Raw genomic sequence first — 19,964 nt, forward strand, 5'->3', positions numbered from 1 at the left:
AAATGGGATTTTCTAACCAGAGAAAATGCCTGTCCAAGCATTGGCCTTTAAGAGAAGAGAGAACAATTCTCCCTTCATCAGATATCTAATTTCAGAGACTGTTTTAATGATAATTGGCCTTTAATGATTTCCTTCACAACTAGCAACTAACATTTGAGACAGAATTTAGAGTTTGAAAAAAAAAAAAAAAAAATCTCAGGTTATTCCAGTCACTGTTTTACAGGGACTGGCATCTGAAAAAAGCATCTTGTTTTTCCAACAGCAACTAAGTTAAAGATAACATGGCTTTAAAATAGAGAGATAAACTGGTTTTACTACATACTTTGACCATTTTCTTCATGGTTAGTCAGCAGTTTAATCTAGCCTTTCGTTCATGTCTTCGAATTCATCACATTCACACAAAGTACATGATGACTAAGTAAATCTGAAAATAAAGTGCCCAAAGGCAGATTATTTGCCACATACTTTATGATATTTAAAATCCTGAGAAGGTAAGCAGTCTTGTCTCAGTTGATGTAAAAGTGGTCTTAAACACACATCAACTACGAAATCCTACTAATGCTAACTGATAATAACATTGATGTTCCAATTTCCTGACTTGTTGATTGCCAGTTTGGCTAGTTTTCTTTGACCTATAGTCGTAAGATGGTGATGACGTTGACGATGACGGTGGAAAAGCTTATGAAAATGTTGGCTATCAAGAAGATTGTGAGCAGTGAATTTATTTCCTACTGCAATTTTACACTAAAACTTTCACATGGTGACTTGTTTTCTCTCCATTCTTTTGCTCGTATTCTCTTACAACATCAAGATTATGTTCTGTGCCTAACAAGCCCATTCAATGTTGTCTTCCACAGCTTTCAGACAAGCTCCTTTCCAATTAGTGAAACTTTTCTTCTTCCCATCAAATGATAAATACATGATTATTCTGATTTTAATATGAACATTCCAGCTGGCATGAAAATAACTCTCTAATTGCAAAAGAACAATTTATTACCTTTATATGCATTTTTTTTTTTTAGCATCCATTGAGTATTTATGTGGCATAAGGCACTATGGTTGACAGACATAAAAGTACATACCCATTAACTAATTACTGATGCATTAATATATGTATTGATATACATAGAGATAGAGATGATAAAGCTATAGAAAAACTATGAAATCATGAGCAACTGAATTTGCTGAAATGGCTGTATTATTGGACATTGGTTTTCAAAAGTTCAAACGACTGCAGTGAAAGTTTTTATTTTAAGAGCAATCATTGAAAGAATCAACTGACCTTGCTGTTCTCTGTCTCAAGTCAGAAAATAAACAGAGAAAGTGTATCTTAGTGGTTTGCAAGTGATTCAGAGCAGGATGCTCAGCTATTAGAAAGTCATCGATTCGGCTGGAGGAAATGAGTTGGCTGAAGCACGAGATATAAGCCAATGCCCAGGATTGTGAGGTCAGGGCAGGATGCCAAGATGAACTACATTTCCTGGCAAGAATTCAAGCTCATTGCCAAAGGCCTTGCTGTTATTCTGAATCCAGGTTTTGTAACCTTTTCAAAAACTCTTACCTTGATATTCAATATTTTTCATTCAACCTTTCTATTTTTCAAGATGCACGATATTAGTATGACATTTATATAAATTTAAATGCAACCTAAAAATCCACATTTTAAGTTAAAATCCATTCACTGCTTTAAGGCTATTTTTTTTAGGGTGACAATCAACATTGTCCATTAACTTTATTTTCAGACATATCTCTCACCCTGGAAAATAAGCAAGCTTGCCAGGAATGTTACTCAGAAAAAAAAAATTAATGGTTCAAAAATATTAAAGCCGTTAGCCACTGCTGACCAGACTGCTTCAAATAATGTGTATTGGGAAGGGTCATGACTGGATGGGAAACCAGCAGACATCAGTTCTATTCTGGGCTTGACTTCCACGTGACCTTCTCAATTCACTCAATTTTTCTGTGGTTCAGTTTGCTCAGGTTTCAAAAAAATGGAATGATAATACCAGGATGTTGTGGGGAGTCATCAGATTAGCAAGAAGCTTTGGACTCTTGAGACACACCTAATGTAGAAATAGATGATATCCAAGACTTGCCTCAGAACAATACATCTTGTATTCTATGTACTGTATTCTCCTTTTTTCTTCTCTCATTGTTTTAAAGCCCCATGAATTATTCCTTTCAGACACTGCATTGTTGTTTTGAATTGTTGCTCGGTAACAAATGATGAGATAAATGTTTCAGGGGCGTCCATGTGAAGAGACCACCAAACAGGCTTTGTGTGAGCAATAAAGCTGTTTATTTCACCTGGGTGCAGGTGGGCTGAATCCGAAAAGACAGTCAGCGAAGGGAGATAGGGGTGGGGCCGTTTTATAAGATTTGGGCAGGTAAAGGAAAATTACAGTCAAAAGGGGTTTGTTCTCTGGTGGGCAGGAGTAGGGGGTCACAAGGTGCTCAGTGGGGGAGCTTTTTGAGTCAGGATGAGCCAGGAAAAAGACTTTGACAAGGTAATGTCATCACTTAAGGCAAGGACCGGCCATTTACACTTCTTTTGTGGTGGAATGTCATCAGTTAAGGCGGGGCAGGGCAATTTCACTTCTTTTGTGATTCTTCAGTTACTTCAGGCCATCTGGGCATATACGTGCAAGTCACAGGGGATGCGATGGCTTGGCTTGGGCTCAGAGGCCTGACATTCCTGCCTTCTTATATTAATAAGAAAAATAAAACAAAATAGTGTTGAAGTGTGGGGGGTGGCGAAAATTTTGGGGGGATGGTATGGAGAGAGAGAATGGGCGATGTTTCTCAGGGCTGCTTTGAGCGGGGTTAGGGGTGGCGTGGGAACCTAGAGTGGGAGAGATTAAGCTGAAGGAAGATTTTGTGGTGAGGGGTGATATTGTGGGATTGTTAGAAGAAACATTTGCCGTGTAGAATTATTGGTGATGGCCTGGATACGGTTTTGTATGAATTGAAAAACTAAAAAATGGAATAAGAGAAGGAGAAAAACAGGTATAAAAGGTCTAAGAATTGGAGGACCCAGGACATCTGATTAGAGAGTGCCTAAGGAGATTCAGCGTAGTCCTGCCAGCAAAGATTATTTACTTCAAGAGTTTAGAGTGGCAGTTTGGGGATAGCACCAGGAGATATCAGCTGTGATGGCTTGGAGAAACAGTGTAAACCGGCAGTGTAAACAAGAGCAGGGCATGTATGAGTAGTTGAGAACGGTGAATAGGAGTATGACTGGACAGAAGATAGTAGGGATGACAAATTTTTTGGGGCACAGTCTAAGTTGGTCTGGTGTCTGGAATGAGACTGGGGCCTAATAAAAAGGAGCATCTATACAGGAGCTCAAATGGGCTGTACCTTGTAGCATTCCGAGGACAGGCCTGAATTCTGAGAAGGGAAAGTGGTAAAAGTATTGTCCAGTCCTTTTTAAGTTGGTGGCTGACCTTGGTGAGGTGTGTTTTTAAGAGACCATTAGTCTGTTCTACTTTTCCTGAAGACTGAGGACTGTAAGAGATATAAAGGTTTCACTGAATACTAAGAGCCTGAAAAACTGCTTGGCTGATTTGACTAATAAAGGCTGGTCTGTTATCAGACTGTATAGAGGTGGAAAGGCTAAACTGAGGAAATATGTCTGACAGAAGGGAAGAAATGACTGTGGTGGCCTTCTCAGACCCTGTAGGAAAGGCCTCTACCCATCCAGTGAAAGTATCTACCCAGACTAAGAGATATTTTAGTTTTCTGACTCGAGGCATGTGAGTAAAGTCAATTTGCCAGTCCTGGGCAGGGGCAAATCCCAGAGCTGATGTGTAGGAAAGGGAGGAGGCCCGAACAATCCCTGAGGGGTAGTAGAATAGCAGATGGCACACTGAGAAGTGATCTCCTTGAGGATAGATTTCCATGATGGAAAGGAAATGAGAGGTTCTAAGAGACGGGCTAGTGGCTTGTAACCTACATGGAAGAGGTAATGAAATGACGACAGAATAGAATGGGCCTGTGAGGCTGGAAGGAGATATTTTCCTTGGTCTAAGAACCATTTGCCTTGTGTGGGAAGAGATTGATAGGTGGAAGTTTCAGCAGGGGAGTAGGTGGGAGTGACCGATGTGAAGGAGAAAAACTGGCCGTGAGGGACAGAAGTTGGAGAGCTAGCTGCTTGTCTAGCCACCTTATCAGCATAAGCGTTGCCTAGAGCAATGGGATCTGACGCCTTTTGACGCCCCTTGCAGTGAATGACCCCAGCTTCCTTTGTAAGTAAAGCGGGCTTGAGTAGAGTTTTTATTAAAGAGGCATTAATGATGGAGGACCCTTTTGTAGTGAGAAAACCTCTTTCAGCTCATACGACCGCATGGTGGTGCAGAATATGAAAGGCATATTTAGAATCAGTATAGATATTGACGCGTAGTCCTTTTGCAAGAGTGAGGGCTTGAGTTAAGGCAACTAGTTCAGCTGGCTGAGGGGTAGTGGAGGGGGTCAGAGTGGTAGCCTCAATGATAGATGTGGAAGATACTATAGTATAGCCTGCCTTTGCTGGTGAGTGGCGATTAAGCCTGGTGGAACTGCCATCAATAAACCAAGTGTGATCAGGGTGAGAAACAGGGAAGAAGGAAATGTGGGGAAATGGGGTGAACGTCAGGTGGATCAGAGAGATGCAGTCATGAGGGTCAGGTGTGGTATCCAGAATAATGTGAGAGGCCGGATTGAAGTCTGGGCCAGGAACAACAGTAACTGTGGGAGACTCAACAAAGAGTGAGTACAGCTGAAGGAGCCGGGAAGCAGAAAGTATATGCGTCAGGTATGAGGAAGAAAATAGATTTTGGAAGTTATGAGAACTGTAGAGAGTGAGTTGAGCATCGTTTGTGATTTTGAGGGCCTCTAAAATTATTAAAGCAGTGGCAGCCGCTGCACACAGACATGAGGGCTAGGCTAAAACAGTAAGGTCAAGTTGTTTGGACAGAAAGGCTACAGGGTGAGGTCCTGGCTCTTGTGTAAGAATTCTGACCACGCTAACCGTGCCTGGGAAGGAAAGGAGTTGTTTTGTAGAAGTTGCTGGGGTTTGAGAGATCAGTCAGACACGATTGGCAGGGAGAGCACGTGTGTTTTTATGCGAATTATGCCGAGATAGGTAACAGATGAGGAAGAAATTTGGGCTTGACTGAAGTAATGGGGGCTGTCTGTGAAGCTTTGCAGCAGTACAGCCTAGGTAATTTGCTGAGCTTGATGGGTGTCAGGGTCAGTCCAAGTGAAAGCAAAGAGAGGCTGGGAGGAAAGGTGCAAAGGAATAGTAAAGAAAGCATGTTTGAGATCTAGAACAGAATAATGGGTTGTAGAGGGAGGTATTGAGGATAGGAGAGTATATGGGTTTGGCCCCACAGGGTGGATAGGCAAAACAATTTGGTTGGTAAGGGGCAGATCCTGAACTAACTTGTAAGGCTCATCTGGTTTTAGGACAGGTAAAATGGGGGAATTGTAAGGAGAGTTTATAGGCTTTAAAAGGCCATGCTGTAGCAGGCGAGTGATAGCAGGCTTTAATCTTTTTAAAGCATGCTGCGGGATGGTATATTGGCGTTGAGTGGGGTAAGGGTGATTAGGTTTTAATGAGATGGTAAGGGGTGCATGATCGGTCGCCAAGGAGGGAGTAGAGGTATCCTATGCTTGTGGGTTAAGGTGGGGGGGGATACGAGAGGGAGGATGTGAAGGAGGCTTTGAACTGCGGGAAAAGGTGGCAATGAGGTGTGGCTGTAGCCCAGGAATTGTCAGGGAAGCAGATAATTTAGTTAAAGTGTCTCGGCCTAATAAGGGAACTGGGCAGGTGGGGATAATTAAAAAGGAGTGCTTAAGAGAGTATTGTCTAAATTGGCACCAGAGTTGGGGAGTTTTAAGAGGTTTAGAAGCCTGGCCGTCAATACCTACAACAGTTATGGAGGCAAGGGAAACAGGCCCTTGAAAATAAGGTAATGTGGAGTGAGTAGCCTCAGTATTGATTAAGAAGGGGACAGACTTACCCTCCACTGTGAGAGTTACCCGAAGCTCGGAGTCCGTGATGGTCTACGGGGCTTCTGAGGCAATCGGGCAGCATCAGTCTTCAGCCGCTAAGCCAAGAAGATCTGGGAAGGAGTCAGTCAGAGAGCCTTGGGCCAGAGTCCCAGGGGCTCTGGGAGTGGCTGCCAGGTGATTTGGACAGTCTGATTTCCAGTGGGGTCCCACACAGATGGGACGCAGCTTAGGAGGAATCCTGGGCTGCAGGCATTCCTTGGCCTGGTGGCCAGATTTCTGGTACTTGTAGCAAGCTCCTGGGGGACGAGGTTCTGGAGGAATGCCTGGCCACTGCGGTTCAGGCCTTTGGAAGTTCTTGTGTGCTGGAGATGTGGCTGGGATTTGTCTCACAGTGGAGGCAAGGTATTGCAACTTTTTTCTATTATTGTACACCTTGAAGGTGAGGTTAATTAAGTCCTGTTGTGGAGTTTGAGGGCTAGAATTTTTGGAGTTTTATTTAATGTCGGGAGCAGATTGGGTAATGTATATTGAGAATAAGATGGCCTTTTGAATTTTTAGGGTCTAGGGCTGTAAAGCGTCTCAGGGTTGCTGCCGAACGATCCATGAACTGGGCTGGGTTTTTTATATTTGATGTAAAAGAGTCTAAATGCTAACTGTTTTGGGAGAGGTTGGATAAAGAAAAAGGAGTATTAACCTTGACTATGCCTTTAGCTCCAGCCACCTTTTTAAGAGGAAATTGCTGGGCAGGTGGGGGAGGGCTAGTTGTGGAACCAAACTGTAAGCTGGACCAGGTGTGAGGAGGGGAGGTGATAAAAGGATTATAGGGTGGAGGAGCGGAGGCTGAGGAAGAATTGGGACCTAGCTCGGCCTGGCGAGGAGGGGAGAGGTCAGATGGGTCTGTAGAAAAGGAAGATTAGAAAGACTCAGCGGCGCTTGGGGTTGGGACTGAGGGGACAGGCAGGAGGGAAAGGAGGAAGATTTGGTATGAGTTGCATTGGGCACAGAGACTAGGAAGGGACCAATGTGTAAAAGAATGCCTGGACGTCAGGCACCTCAGACCGTTTGCCTATTTTATGACAACAATTATTTAGATCTTGCAGGATGGAAAAATTGAAAGTGCCATTTTCTGGCTATTTGGAACTACTGTCTGTATTGGGGTCAAGTGGCATTGCAGAAGAAAATAGGGCATTTAGGTTTTAGGTCAGGTGTGAGTTGAAGAGGTTTTAAGTTTTTGAGAACACAGGCTAAGGGAGAAGAAGAAGGAATGGAGGGTGGAAGGTTGCCTATAGTGAAGGAGCCAAGTTGAAAGAAAAGGGAGAGTAGAGACACAGAGGGAAGCTGTTCGGGGGTTCTTACCCTCCAGAAAAGCGGGAAAGGGGTCGAGGCACAGAGATATGAGGTTGGGGGCGCAGAAATAAGGGATCAGGGCACCGAGATATAAGAGGCTGGGGTGCGGAAATAAGGGATCGGGGCACAGAGATATAAGAGGTCGGGGCATGGAAATAAGGGATTGGAGCGCAGAGATATAAGGGGTTGGGGTACTTGTCCCTCCCTCAGAAAAGCGGGACTTGCCTCTAAGGGTGAAGAAGAAGGGGTTGGGGGGTTTTTTGCCCCCCAGAAAGGCGGAGAAGGGGTAGAGACACGGAGATAAGGGGTTGGGGTACTTCCCCGCTTACCGGATTTGAAATTGGTGAGATGTTTCTTGGGCTAGTCTGTCTGAGAACCTGAGGTTGTAGGTGGATCTTTCTTACGGAACAAAGAACAGGAGGACAGGGGATTGATCTCCCAAGGGAGGTCCCCCGATCCGAGTCACGGCACTAAATTTCATGCGCGTCTGTGTGAAGAGACCACCAAACAGGCTTTGTATGAGCAATAAAGCTGTTTATTTCACCTGGGTACAGGTGGGCTGAGTCTGAAAAGAGAGTCAGCTAAGGGAGATAGGGGTGGGGCCGTTTTATAAGATTTGGGCAGGTAAAGGAAAATTACAGTCAAAGGGGTTTTGTTCTCTGGCTGGCAGGAGTGGGGGTCGCAAGGTGCTCAGTGGGGGTGGTTTTTGAGCCAGGATGAGCCAGGAAAAAGACTTTGACAAGGTAATGTCATCACTTAAGGCAAGGACCAGCCATTTACACTTCTTTTGTGGTGGAATGTCATCAGTTAAGGCGGGGCAGGGCATTTTCACTTCTTTTGTGATTCTTCAGTTACTTCAGGCCATCTGGGCATATACGTGCAAGTCACAGGGGATGCAATGGCTTGGCTTGGGCACAGAGGCCTGACAAAATGTATACTCTACTAAAATCAGTTCATTTAAATTCAGTACAGCAAACATTGATGGAGTACTTATAAAAGTAGGTTATTTGATGATAATCCATAATCCCCTCATATTAAAATAATCTATCTTCCATTTTTTTTCTCCAACCAAAGAAAAAAAAACCTAAGGTTGGTTTACTAAAAACATCTCATATTTGCTAAGTGCTTACTGGCTGCTAGGCATTTTTGTTAAGCACTTTGCTTGCCTTACCTCATTTAGTTTTCAGAATCCCAAGAGGAGTGTTTTATTAGTATTCTCATTTTGCAGACAGGAAAACTGAAAGAGATTTAGCAAAGACTCAATCACTCAAGCAGTTAGGAGCATAACTGTTGTTCAATCTTTGAGCTCTTTGATTCTAGGCACTGACTTATATTTCCCCTAAATTAGTAATTGCCAAATGTGGGTAAGCTTGTGATGTATTTGACATACTTGTTAAGGATGCAGATTCCTGCCTCTGCATGCATACACATAGTTCTAATACTATGGCTTATTTATTGCATATTATAAACACATCCACGGATTGAGTTGCTCATCTGCTGTGAACTCAGTGAAGACTGAGGGTCAGAACCAAGACTTTTCGGAAATCTAATGGGGTACCCTCCTTTCCCAAGGTTGAGATAATTACACGAGTACAACAAACCTTATGCCTTTGAAGTATTGAGTGGTTAAACAAGTGTGACTAAAGAAATCAACAAAATGCAATTGTGCTTATGTATCTCAAGAACAAGTGTTTCTTTAAGTACCCTTTAGCTACCACCCAACTCTTATTCCCATTAGTCAGTGAACTGCTATGGGAAACTGCAATGAGAGTCATCCTAAGTCAGGGTTTCTCAACCTCAGCACACTGGTATTTTATGCCAGAGAAGTCATTATTTTGTGGGGCTGTTCTGTACATCGTATGATGTTTAGCAGTATCCATCAGGCCTAACTACTAGAAGCTAGTAGCACATCCTCCGTGTTGTGAAATTAAAAAAAAAAATAGCCAACTTTGTCAAATGTCCCTTCAGGGGCAAATTATCCCTGTTTGAGAACCGCTGCTATATGATACGTTGGGAAACCGAGGACACTGGAGAGGTCATCAGTGGAAATTGTTGTTCCACATAACATTTCTTACTTTAAAAGGATCTGTAAAGAATACAGAATATCATATTTACAAATACAAACATTGATTTTTATAAAAGAGATTTCCATGTGGATTCAATGGCTGATCCTCATCTCAGACTCCTTGAAAAGCCTTGCATTTAGGGACTTGGGGTAGAAAAACAACCCAATCAAGAAGGGAGAGAAGATCATTCAGAAATGTAGGCTGAGACTCACAGCTTAGAATAGCTGTGCTGGTAAGGGAAGAATTTTAGGGACATAACTCCCAAAAGAGAGAAAGAAGAGGATATGGGCCAGCCATGGCCCCAGGGAGAAGCAACAATTATTGACTAGCATCAGAGGCTCAAACTGAGGCAGGCTGACCTCTGGGAGTAAGGAGGGATGGAAGGTGAGTCAGTGGAGCAGGAGAGAAAACCAATTTGGGGAAGCTTTGCTTAGAAAGGAATGAAAGTTAGGGCCTGATAGGTAAAGCAGAAGAAAAGGAAAATTTAAATACTGTCTTCACAGAATGATTCCAGAACTTGACAGGCCAGATTGTAGCACAATTAAAGGTGTAAAAAGTTGTATGGCTAAAGGAATTTAACCACTTTGAAGTTTATACACCACACAAAGCAAAGAGAGGAGGTAATTGGCCAGAACTCTAGTTTTGGTTGTTTTAGAGCATGGAAAGAAAAACAGTCACAGGATGGATCTTCCTTTCTTGCTGGCACTTCTTTGAGAAATCACAAGAAAGAAGAGGCCTTTCTAAGGCTTTGGAGAGCCAGATGGTTCTTTAAACATGGACTTTCCTCAGGCCTTTAGCCAGGGAAGTCCTGTGCTAGTAAAAATTTAACAACTGACTTTCTGGGACAAAACAAAACCCTCTAATTTGTGATGTTTACTGATCTCCATGGTGTGAATACTTTCACATGGCTCATTTCTAGCTAACATCAAGAAGTCACTGAACAAGGAATTGGGAAGAGCTGCATTCAATTGGTCTTGCTTGCCTGTGTGACCCAGTGTGAGCTGGTTTCAGCACACCAGTGTAGTCTTGGTCTCCTTTGTCATTTTTTTCTGAATGCCGTCTTTCCAGTATGCAGGCTTTGACTAAGCATTTAGGCAGAACTGAAACATTCAAATTAATGCCATTTCAGGTACCCACTGGTCTCAAGGTGGTAGTTTCTATCTTTGTGACTTGCCATCCATACCACCCCTTTCGACGTACACTGCTTTCTAGCAGCAGAAAGCCAGCTTGAAACTTCTGTGACAAATGAGGTCCACCAAAAATTTTTAGAACAACAAAAAATAAACTAGTAGGGAAAAAGTGGCCTAAATAAATGGGTCATGCAAGTAGAATTAAAATTGTAATTTTTGCTATTTGGTGATTTGGAGAAGACTTAGCTTTTATGCATTTTGACAGAGTAGCAGCTGTTGTTATCTCTGTAACCGGGGTGTCAGAAGTAAAATGTCAAAGGTAGAGGCACTTCCTGCTTGGTTAGTCATCTGCATTTCCTGACAAAGGCCCAAGAGGAAATGGTTTCTATTCCTTGAGAAAGAAGCAAGGGAGGGGCAAGGACAGGAGTCCTGGCTGAATTCACTGTATCTAAAAGTCTTTCATTCTGCTGAATTTACATCATGAGACTGAGGCCTTGTAAAAGCTTCCTAACATAAGAAAAATGGTCTTGGATAAAACCTTCATGTTCCTTTGTCTTTTGTTTTTTGTGCATTACTAGGATTTCAGGAGTAAAATTTCATACACCAGTGTTATTAATTTAAGAATCCAAGTGGCCACACTCATCATATAGTCTGATTGTCCACTTCTGAAAACTTTTGGGGAGTATTTTTAAAATAATACATTTCAAGTACCCATTGTCTCAAGGTGGTACTTTCCATTTTTGTGTCTTTCCATATATAGTGCCCCTTAGAATATACAGGAATGGTACACTCCAGCAGCAGAAAGCCAACTTGAAACTCCTGGGTCACATACAGTCTATCAAAGATTTTTAGAACAAAAAAATAAACTAATAGGAGTTAGTTTATTCCTATGCTATCAAAATATATTTAAAAATTAACAGTGAATAATGAAGAGGCAAAAACCTATAACATGAGACACACCTACACAATTTCGTCTTTTTCATTCTAGCATTTTTACTATTTTTTTCTACTATGTTGTTTTATCCCCCAAGTGTTTAGAACAGTGAAATGTGTTTCCAGTTTATATTCTCTTTATGAAAAACAGCATTACTGAATAGATGCCAATGAGAAAAATAAACTATTAATATACCCTCTCTTTTTACCTCTTGGTTCCCAACTCCATAAATCAAAGATTTGAATACAGTCTGGTACAAGAAGTGAGAGTATTTAATTCCTAAATTTGAACTCAAGTAAAGGTGTGTGGGCTGGAGAGCTCTTTGGAAAGTGGGAGCAGACCTTTTTGTTTGTTTAACAACTGGATGATGTGGAGTTACCTCATTAGGCCCATGCAGGTTTAATGATGATTTACAGAGAATGCATTGGTAAGTCCCTGCAGAGGGCAAAAAAATGATTTTCCTTGACGATTTCTAAGACATTTGTATCCTCTTCTCCATAATTACCCCATTGGGTTTTGACTCTCTTAATAGCACAGGCATTTTCCTAAACATTTGCATTTTTTTCTGTTATTAATCCTCTTGCACAATGCTCAGTGATTTTTCTTGTTGGAGATCCTATTGCCAGTTTTCACTGGCTCTCACTCATACAGAGCTGGGGGTCATGAGATTTTTATCTTCTACCCCTTATAGCATCTATCCCAGTTGCTAAGAATGCCACTGATAGCTGGCATTTTCAGGATTTGACAATCTACCTTGCCCTTTCACAAACATTTGCTAAGTTGTTCATCACCTCCCTGTGGAGGAAACAGGAGAGAATTTTATTAGGTAGGGTGATACAAGGGGAATCCACACATTGGGAACAATATTGAGTAGCCAGGTTGAAGGTACAGGTCAATCAGCAGTTGTCTTAAAGCTTTCCTAGTATTCTGCTTGCTATTCCCACTCCTTTTGTTTATCTGAAAATATTTATTATCTGTTCAGACAGTGTAATTCACTGGGATGAAGCTCAACACAGGGAATCCCGCATGCCCTTTTCTCATAGAACATTTTAAAATTACCTTTGTAGTTGTGGTTTAGCAGGACAAAACTGGAACCATTCCCCATGTGTCATCTATGTCATCTTGGTTCTCCCCTTGCCTGTTGCTGCTAGAAAATGGGTCAGGTATTTATGGCTCAACATAGCATCCCTGGTGCCAGGATGATCCAGTTGGCCTAAGGCAGAAGGAAGCTCAAACAAAAAGGCAACATCACCAGATTGGTTCCGTGGGAGCATAAGCCTCTGAATTTGAGGTTCAGGTCACATTTCTTGGCATGATCTTCCAGTTTTATGTGCTAGCAGCAAGCAAGTGGGTTGTTAGAGTACTAGGACTGAAGTGGGCTAAAATAAAATTGGATTATGAAAGATATTCCAATGGTCAATGACACTTATACATTTTCATGAAATAAAACAAACAACTTTCTCCTTTGAATTGAGGTAGAATCATTTCAACATCCACTCTCATGATCCATCCATGCATGAAGATGTCAATTTTTTTCATATTCCACAAGACACTCACTCTCTTATCATTGGCAAATTCAGAGAGTGTTTACTAAAAGCTATGTCTATTAGGGAGGCAGTGAGGGTGTTGAGGGATTCTGGTAATAGTAATGATGTTATTATCACAGCTCAACTGAGCCTCAGAGTGACTTTCCTGATGTTCACAATTGGTCAAGAGTAAAGATAGAGTTTGAATCCAATTCTTTTGATATCAGGCCTCCTAACTTTGAATCCAATTTTCTGTCCTCTATGGAACTGTTGGTGCCTGCATATAGAGTATTCAATAAAGGTTTGCTGAACTAGATTGAATAAAACTGAAGGCCAAAGGGAGTTTTAGCCCTGCCTTTCCAATGAAGGCAATTTCCTATTGACCAGACTCTCACCTTTCTGTTCTGCCTCTGAGTTCATTTGATAAGAGACTTGATTTGGGCTTGTTTTAGCAGATAAGTTGAGTTAATATTTATTTTAGGAAAGTGGGATTAGTGAAGATAGGTAGGGAATGAATTATACATTCTCTGAGCAACTGAAGGTCATTAGGAAAACATGCAGCTGCCGGAGATTTCCGGGTAAGGCTTGCACAGTGGGGGCTGGAGGTGATTTCCAAATGTTGTGGTTTCTATTTATTGGAGTTACTTTGGAAGTGGTGAGCTGGGACAATTACGCTGTTAATTCAGATAAAAGGGAACTTTTTAATAGAGAGAGTGACAAATCACTATGTAAATATGGAGAACGCAGCTTCCAAGACTGGCAGACAGTGCAAGGTATGGGGACGTGAGAATCATAGGATTTGAGTGTTTTGCTGACTCTGTATGAGTCAGAAACCAAAAGAGGGGCATGAAGTGAGAGAACCAACTCAACTAGCAAAAGAGACCCGGCAAGGGGAGCCATTCTAATGCAGAATCCAAAAAGTGTATACAACTCAGGGAGCATTTAGAATAATGTTAGCACTAGAAATTTTTGTTTTGTTTTGTTTGAGAAGCAAAAAATATTGTGTAGACAGAAACTAAAGGTTGTTATTAGGCAATAATAATAGCTAGTAGATCATTCTTTATCCTCACATCTCATGTGCCAGGCACTGTGCTATGTACTTTGCATTAATCTGCACGTTAAATCTTCACAGCAGGCTGGGCATGGTGGCTCATGCCTGTAATCTCAGCACTTTGGGAGTCCGAGGCAGGCGGATCAAAAGGTTAAGAGATCGAGACCATCCTGGCCAACATGGTGAAACCCTGTCTCTACTAAAAATACAAAAATTAGCTGGGCGTGGTGGCACATGCCTGTAGTCCCAGCTACTCAGAGACTGAGGCAGGAGAATCGCTTGAATCTGGTCGGCGGAGGTTGTGGTGAGCTGAGATCGCACCACTGCACTCCAGCCTGGAGACAGAGTGAGACTCCACTATGTCTCAAGAAAAAAAAAAAAAAATTCTCACAGCAGCCGTATAGACTAGACACAATCAGAAAATGTACAGATGGGAAAAACATTCTAAAAATTTGATTTCTTTGCTCACATTCGTAAGCCCCAAGTGAAGAGCCAGAATGCAAACTCAGGCCCAGTTGATGTCAATTATTTTTGTGTTTGTCATGTAGAAGAGCACTTCACAGCACGCGGTGTGCCTCTTTGGAAAGGAAAACCAGAGAGGAAGCATGAGTCTTGTTTTGAGTGTCCCACAGGGAAATGAATTTGAAACACTACAGTTCTGGGGTTTTACGGTTTCTAGAGTCCTTTTCTGTGACAGGGAAATCTTCATTTTTGTGCGAAGAAATATCCAGCCCTTATCAGCTGATTTGGCTGAGATTTAGAAACTTTTCTTTATCTGTTTAAGATTGATGCAGAAACAGAGCAAATGTGAACAGGTGAGCAGCGTTGACCAGATGTTCCAGTGAGAGAGCTAGTGACAACAAAGGGAGGATAAAGCTGGTGTGGGTGCTGTACATAGTCCACTTGACAAATGTTTGTTGAGTGCCTGCCATTTTCTAGGCAATGTCTTAGGCACCAGAACACAACCCATGCAGCAGGGAACTTAGCCACAGTGTAAAAGGAGTAGAAGCTTTGGTGGTAGGCAAGTCCCAGCACAGTCACTAACCAGCTAAGTGGCTTTTGGGCATATGACTTAGCCCCTCCAAGCCTCCATTTTCTCATCTCAGAGAGACATGATGAAGCCCAGCTCTGCGGGTCACTGTGAAGAATAATGTACATAAAATGCCTGGCCCATAGTAGACACACAATTAAACAGTAATAATAACCCTATTAATTGTTAAGGGTTTAATTCCTCTTAGAAAGTTCATGCCCAGTTTCTTCACAGGGCAACACAATGCCAACTTCCTCTAAGTCCTTGCAAGTTTTCTACAGAATCTAGATGTTTCACCGTGTTTCCTGGAGGATGCTAAGTATCAGTGGATTCCCAGGATGTTAAATTCTACATTCCTGAACTCTACACACCTTCTACCCTCCTCTTTCCTCCCACATGGTATGGTTGATGTGATGGTTAATTCTGTTTGTCAACATGGCTGGGTCACAGGGTACTCAGATGTTTGGTCAAACGTTGTTCTTGATGTGCATGTGGGAGATTCTGAATGGAATACTACACTGGAATTCATAGGCTGAGTAAAGCACATTGTCCTTCTTAATGGGTACAGGCCCTCAGCTAATTAGTTGAAGACCTGATTAGAACAAAAATCCTCACCTTCCTAAGAGTATGAGGGAATTCCTTCTGACTGACTGCCTTGAGCTGGGACATGTTGTTTGCCTCCCTTCAGACTTGAACTGAAACACTGGCTCTTTCTGGGTCTTGACTCCACTGGCTTTCAGACTGGAACTTACACCATTGGGTTATCAGGCCATTAAACTTACACTGGAACTGCACCATAGGCTCCTCTAGTTTTCCATCTTGCCAACTACATATTTGGAACTTGTCACCATCTGTAATTGTGTGAGTCAATTCCTTATAATACACACACACACACAAACAGACACACACACACACACACACACACACACATCCTACTAGTTCTGTCTTCCTGGAGAACTCCGACTTAAACAAATGAGGGTACTGAAAAACAGAGACGGAAGTTTCCCAAAGTTATGCTAGTGCCCAAGGAAGAAGAAAGGATAGTTCTTGGTTCTCAGTTCAGAGCTGCTTCTGTGTAATTCTTCCTGCTGCCTCGCATGATAAATACTACTTCATAATTAAAGAGGAAAGGAAGCAGATTAGATATCTCCTTTACAAAACAACATGAAACCTAAATTTGGCAGCCATAACCCTACCAAAGACAGGCCCTGCGAATATCCAAGACAGGGAAGTGGCCTACCCTGTACTCAACACATACTGTGTACCCTGCATGCTCACCTATATCTCTTTTAATCCACACGAAAAATATACTCTTGTCCCCATTTTTAAATGAGGACATTGGAACTCAGAAGATAAGATAATCAAGGCCACAGACCTGGTAAGTTATAAGGGCCACTTCTGCCTGAATCCAGAGCTCATATTCTCTCCGTGATGACAAACTGACTCTTTAACACTGGGCCAAGGCATGGATAAGGCAGACTCCAAAGTTTCTTCCTCAAATTCCTAGAAGGAGAGAGCTTAAGAAGCCTGAGGATATATGAGACAGCTGGGTTCTGTGTATGACCCTGATTTGGAGCTCCCAGCTCCTGTCTGTCCCTCATTATCATTAGCCACATATGTCTGCAAGTTACACATGAGTCTGGGAAGATGCCGGGACCTGGCGAGCAATGCTTGTTTTATAGCCAAGCACATCTGCTTCCTGCAGCCTTCCAAACCCTTTAGCTACTGACTGCTGGGCTGGTGAATTATCTCCCTTCAGACCTGGGAGGGAGCTGCCTGCATCTCCTTTCCAGGGAAGAAAGATCTCTTCTCTCTCTCTCCCCCTACTTGTCGATCCCCTCCTTGTTTCTTCCTCTCTCCTTCTCTCCTTCCCTTTCCTCTTTTAGTTTAGACTTTGTTCTCATTTTATAAAGATAAAAACCATAAACATGCTGTTTTGAATGCTTTTTGCTGAAACTTGTATACCAGGCTCATTTTATTCAAAAGTCCTATGTCTCTCTCTGACCTCCATGTTTTACCCTAAATTTGGTACCCACTTTCCTTTGCTGCTTTTTATTCCTGCAGAATTTTTACCAGATCCTAAGCACTAGTGTGTGTTCTGACTATGCTCTGTTGTTTGTCACACAAATAGGATTTCACTTTGAACATTGTTTTAATCTGATGAATGTCCAGGCGGTTTGTCATGCAAACAAGATCTAATTGGCAGAATATCTTTTTTCTTAGCCAATTCTGGTAAATTACCACATTCCCACAGTCACTCTAGTAACTTAGCCGTATTATGGTTCAGGATTTGGGGGAATTAAAAGCACTTAGATTATAATTACTAAATTTGTATGACATAACATTTTCACACACCCATATGAATATGTCTTTTTCATGGAATTTTAAATGATAAAAAATAGAAATCTGTGGGGGTATTTTTTATATATATACATATATATACACACATATATATACACATATATACACATACATATATTTATATAAACAGATTCCATATATACAAAGTACATCTATGCAATTTTTTTTTTTTTGAGACAGGGTCTTGTTTTGTCATGCAGGCTTGAGTACAGTGGTGCAATCATGGCTCAATGCAACCTCCGTCTTCCGGGCTCAAGGGGTCCTCCCTTCCAAGCCTCCCGAGTAGCTGGGACTACAGGTGCACACCACCAGGCCTGGCTAATTTTTGTATTTTTTGTAGAGATGGGTTTTTGCCATGTTGCCCAGATTTGTCTTGAACCCTTGGCTCAAGTGATCTGCCTGCCTTGGTCTCCCATAGTGCTGGGATTACAGGCATGAACCTCCGTGCCTGGCCTATGCTCATTTTTCAGTGCTATGCACCTGCAAGTCCTTTTGTTCTTATTCATATTCATGAAAATAATAATATTTTTGTTTATAAAGAGCCAGGGAGAAAGAAATTTAGTTCCTAGTGCCAGGTTTCCGATGCTGAGAGCAAGATCAATAGTAAAGGTCTGGGTTTTTTAGGATGCTCTTAGCCTGGATGATAAGGTTTAAGATGCTAAGATGTAACACCTTAACAGTCCCTGAACGGAGGTAATATATGGTCTAGAGGAGCAGTAGAAATAAAGACATGCTGAGGAAGCAGGAGATCAACTCAGGGGAGGAGAGGGGCACCTCATTATCTCAGGATAATTCATACAGGAAAAGGTTATTTAAAGGGAACCCACAAAAATGGAGATACCTATTTAGAAAAAATAGTAAAAGCAAGTTTGACTGAGAAAATGCATGATAAATCAAACTAACGATTATAAGTTTATCTTATCTTATTTAAAAATGTAAGTTGCAAATGCAATCATGATCTAATTCTTAGAATAAGCAAAGAACGGATCAAGCAGACTTTACTGTTTTGAAGGTGAGTAAATAATTTTTGTTATACACATATGAGATCAGGATAAAATGTCCTTCATTTTCCAACATTACCTTAAGCATCACCTTAAAGAAAGTACTGTTTTCAAAAGTACTTAGTACTTCACCCATTTTTTGAAGGTCTCTTCTTAATCTTTTAACAGTCACATTATGCTCCCTGGAGATACTTTTAGGTTATCTTTGTAGTTTGTCTCTTCCTCAATTATTGTCTGGTTTAACTCTTCCATCTTCTTATCAGTCAATGATTTTATGAGAACTGGGGCCTTCTCCAAGATCATTTTTATTACTTTCATCAATTTTATGAAATCTCTTGTAAAATTCTCAATTCTTTTACAATTACTTTGTATTATATTCCTCAAGTTATAAATATCATCTCTAAACAACAGATACATTTATAACACCTGGCAATCATTGACAGTCTAACCAATAAGATCTTGATACAATAGGTCAGGAAACATGCTAATGTTAGAAGAAAGGTGTATGTGAGGAGTTACTCACTTTATATATGATTACTTCATTAATGAATTTTAAAAATTAATTTGACTTTTGGTTTCATAGAAATTGCATGACTGGGGAAACAAGTACAGGGAGAATTGAATAAAATATGACTTTTTTTGTCAAATATCATTTCTAAGAGTTACATTATAGACTGGAAGCAAGAGGGAGGTGTTCAAGATTCAGAGATACAGGAAATGGACCGGAAAGCAGAAAAACAGATAAATGGCTTATTCCGCATTGCCTGAATGACACTTAGACTTTCTGAAGTTTGTTCCTTCTGGGGGCTGATGTAGAGGGGACGGACATTTTGAGTTATAATAATGTGGTAGATCAAGTTCCTAGGGAAATGCAGTAGGTAAAGATTAGTGACGCAGGCCCATCAGAAGCCTCAGCCCACCCTCTGGGGAGCGCTAAGACTGGATGATCCTTCAGCATTGTCTCGAGTTAAGAATCAGAAATCCAAGTCTAGTTTCTATCCTTACATTGAGCAGTTATCAAGTGCAGACAGTCCAAGGAAGAGGATGTGAGTTTGGGCAGAAGCTGTATTTAGTGAAGGCAATCTCTATAGGATGCTGATGTGTGAGGCTATCCATTGGATTACCTCTCAGAGCTCAGGATAAAAATAATGATAATAAACATATTTATTGAAAGCTTACTATGCATACGTGTAGTCACTATTCAAGGTACTTTACCTGAAGTTTTCAAAAATTGTTATAGCAAACTTATAAGAAAGCTTCAATTATTATCCCTACTTTAAAGATGAAAAAAGTTGCAGTTTCATTAATAAGTGGAAGAACACTAATTTTACTGTTTATAGTCCAATGTTCTGTCCATTCACCACCAATTATCAACCAGTCCTTCTTACCAAAGCCAACTACACAACCTACTCTTCTTCAAGTCACAAGTCTTCTAACATAGCATTGCCACTACCTTCCTTTTCTTTTATTAGGTATGCCTTTTACAGCACATTTCACTTTTATTATTTCTTATAAGGAAGAAAT

The 19,964-nt window shown here is 41.3% G+C and overlaps 1 long non-coding RNA gene across 1 annotated transcript in view, besides 6 other annotated features; it reads left to right on the top strand.

The window, feature by feature from the left end:
- Positions 1-19,964, top strand: part of LOC124900670 (uncharacterized) — a 70,810-nt gene that overhangs the window by 1,867 nt on the left and 48,979 nt on the right. The window lies entirely within an intron of this gene.
- Positions 2,418-2,989: an enhancer, noted in NCBI's record as "OCT4-NANOG-H3K27ac-H3K4me1 hESC enhancer chr4:14171749-14172320 (GRCh37/hg19 assembly coordinates)". NCBI's record gives its function as "activates a minimal SCP1, AML or CMV promoter by ChIP-STARR-seq in naive and primed H9 embryonic stem cells {active_cell/tissue: H9 hESC(naive and primed)}" and the evidence as "EXISTENCE:reporter gene assay evidence [ECO:0000049][PMID:30033119]".
- Positions 4,048-4,713: an enhancer, noted in NCBI's record as "NANOG-H3K27ac hESC enhancer chr4:14173379-14174044 (GRCh37/hg19 assembly coordinates)". NCBI's record gives its function as "activates a minimal SCP1, AML or CMV promoter by ChIP-STARR-seq in naive H9 embryonic stem cells {active_cell/tissue: H9 hESC(naive)}" and the evidence as "EXISTENCE:reporter gene assay evidence [ECO:0000049][PMID:30033119]".
- Positions 4,714-5,379: an enhancer, noted in NCBI's record as "H3K27ac hESC enhancer chr4:14174045-14174710 (GRCh37/hg19 assembly coordinates)". NCBI's record gives its function as "activates a minimal SCP1, AML or CMV promoter by ChIP-STARR-seq in primed H9 embryonic stem cells {active_cell/tissue: H9 hESC(primed)}" and the evidence as "EXISTENCE:reporter gene assay evidence [ECO:0000049][PMID:30033119]".
- Positions 7,772-8,414: an enhancer, noted in NCBI's record as "OCT4-NANOG-H3K27ac hESC enhancer chr4:14177103-14177745 (GRCh37/hg19 assembly coordinates)". NCBI's record gives its function as "activates a minimal SCP1, AML or CMV promoter by ChIP-STARR-seq in naive and primed H9 embryonic stem cells {active_cell/tissue: H9 hESC(naive and primed)}" and the evidence as "EXISTENCE:reporter gene assay evidence [ECO:0000049][PMID:30033119]".
- Positions 10,798-11,092: an enhancer, noted in NCBI's record as "tiled region #1402; K562 Activating non-DNase unmatched - State 24:Quies". NCBI's record gives its function as "activates a minimal TATA promoter and a strong SV40 promoter by Sharpr-MPRA in K562 cells {active_cell/tissue: K562}" and the evidence as "EXISTENCE:reporter gene assay evidence [ECO:0000049][PMID:27701403]".
- Positions 16,518-16,812: a silencer, noted in NCBI's record as "tiled region #15154; K562 Repressive non-DNase unmatched - State 24:Quies". NCBI's record gives its function as "represses a minimal TATA promoter and a strong SV40 promoter by Sharpr-MPRA in K562 cells {active_cell/tissue: K562}" and the evidence as "EXISTENCE:reporter gene assay evidence [ECO:0000049][PMID:27701403]".

Source organism: Homo sapiens, chromosome 4, assembly GCF_000001405.40.
Source record: "Homo sapiens chromosome 4, GRCh38.p14 Primary Assembly".
Taxonomy (NCBI): Eukaryota; Metazoa; Chordata; class Mammalia; order Primates; family Hominidae; genus Homo; species Homo sapiens.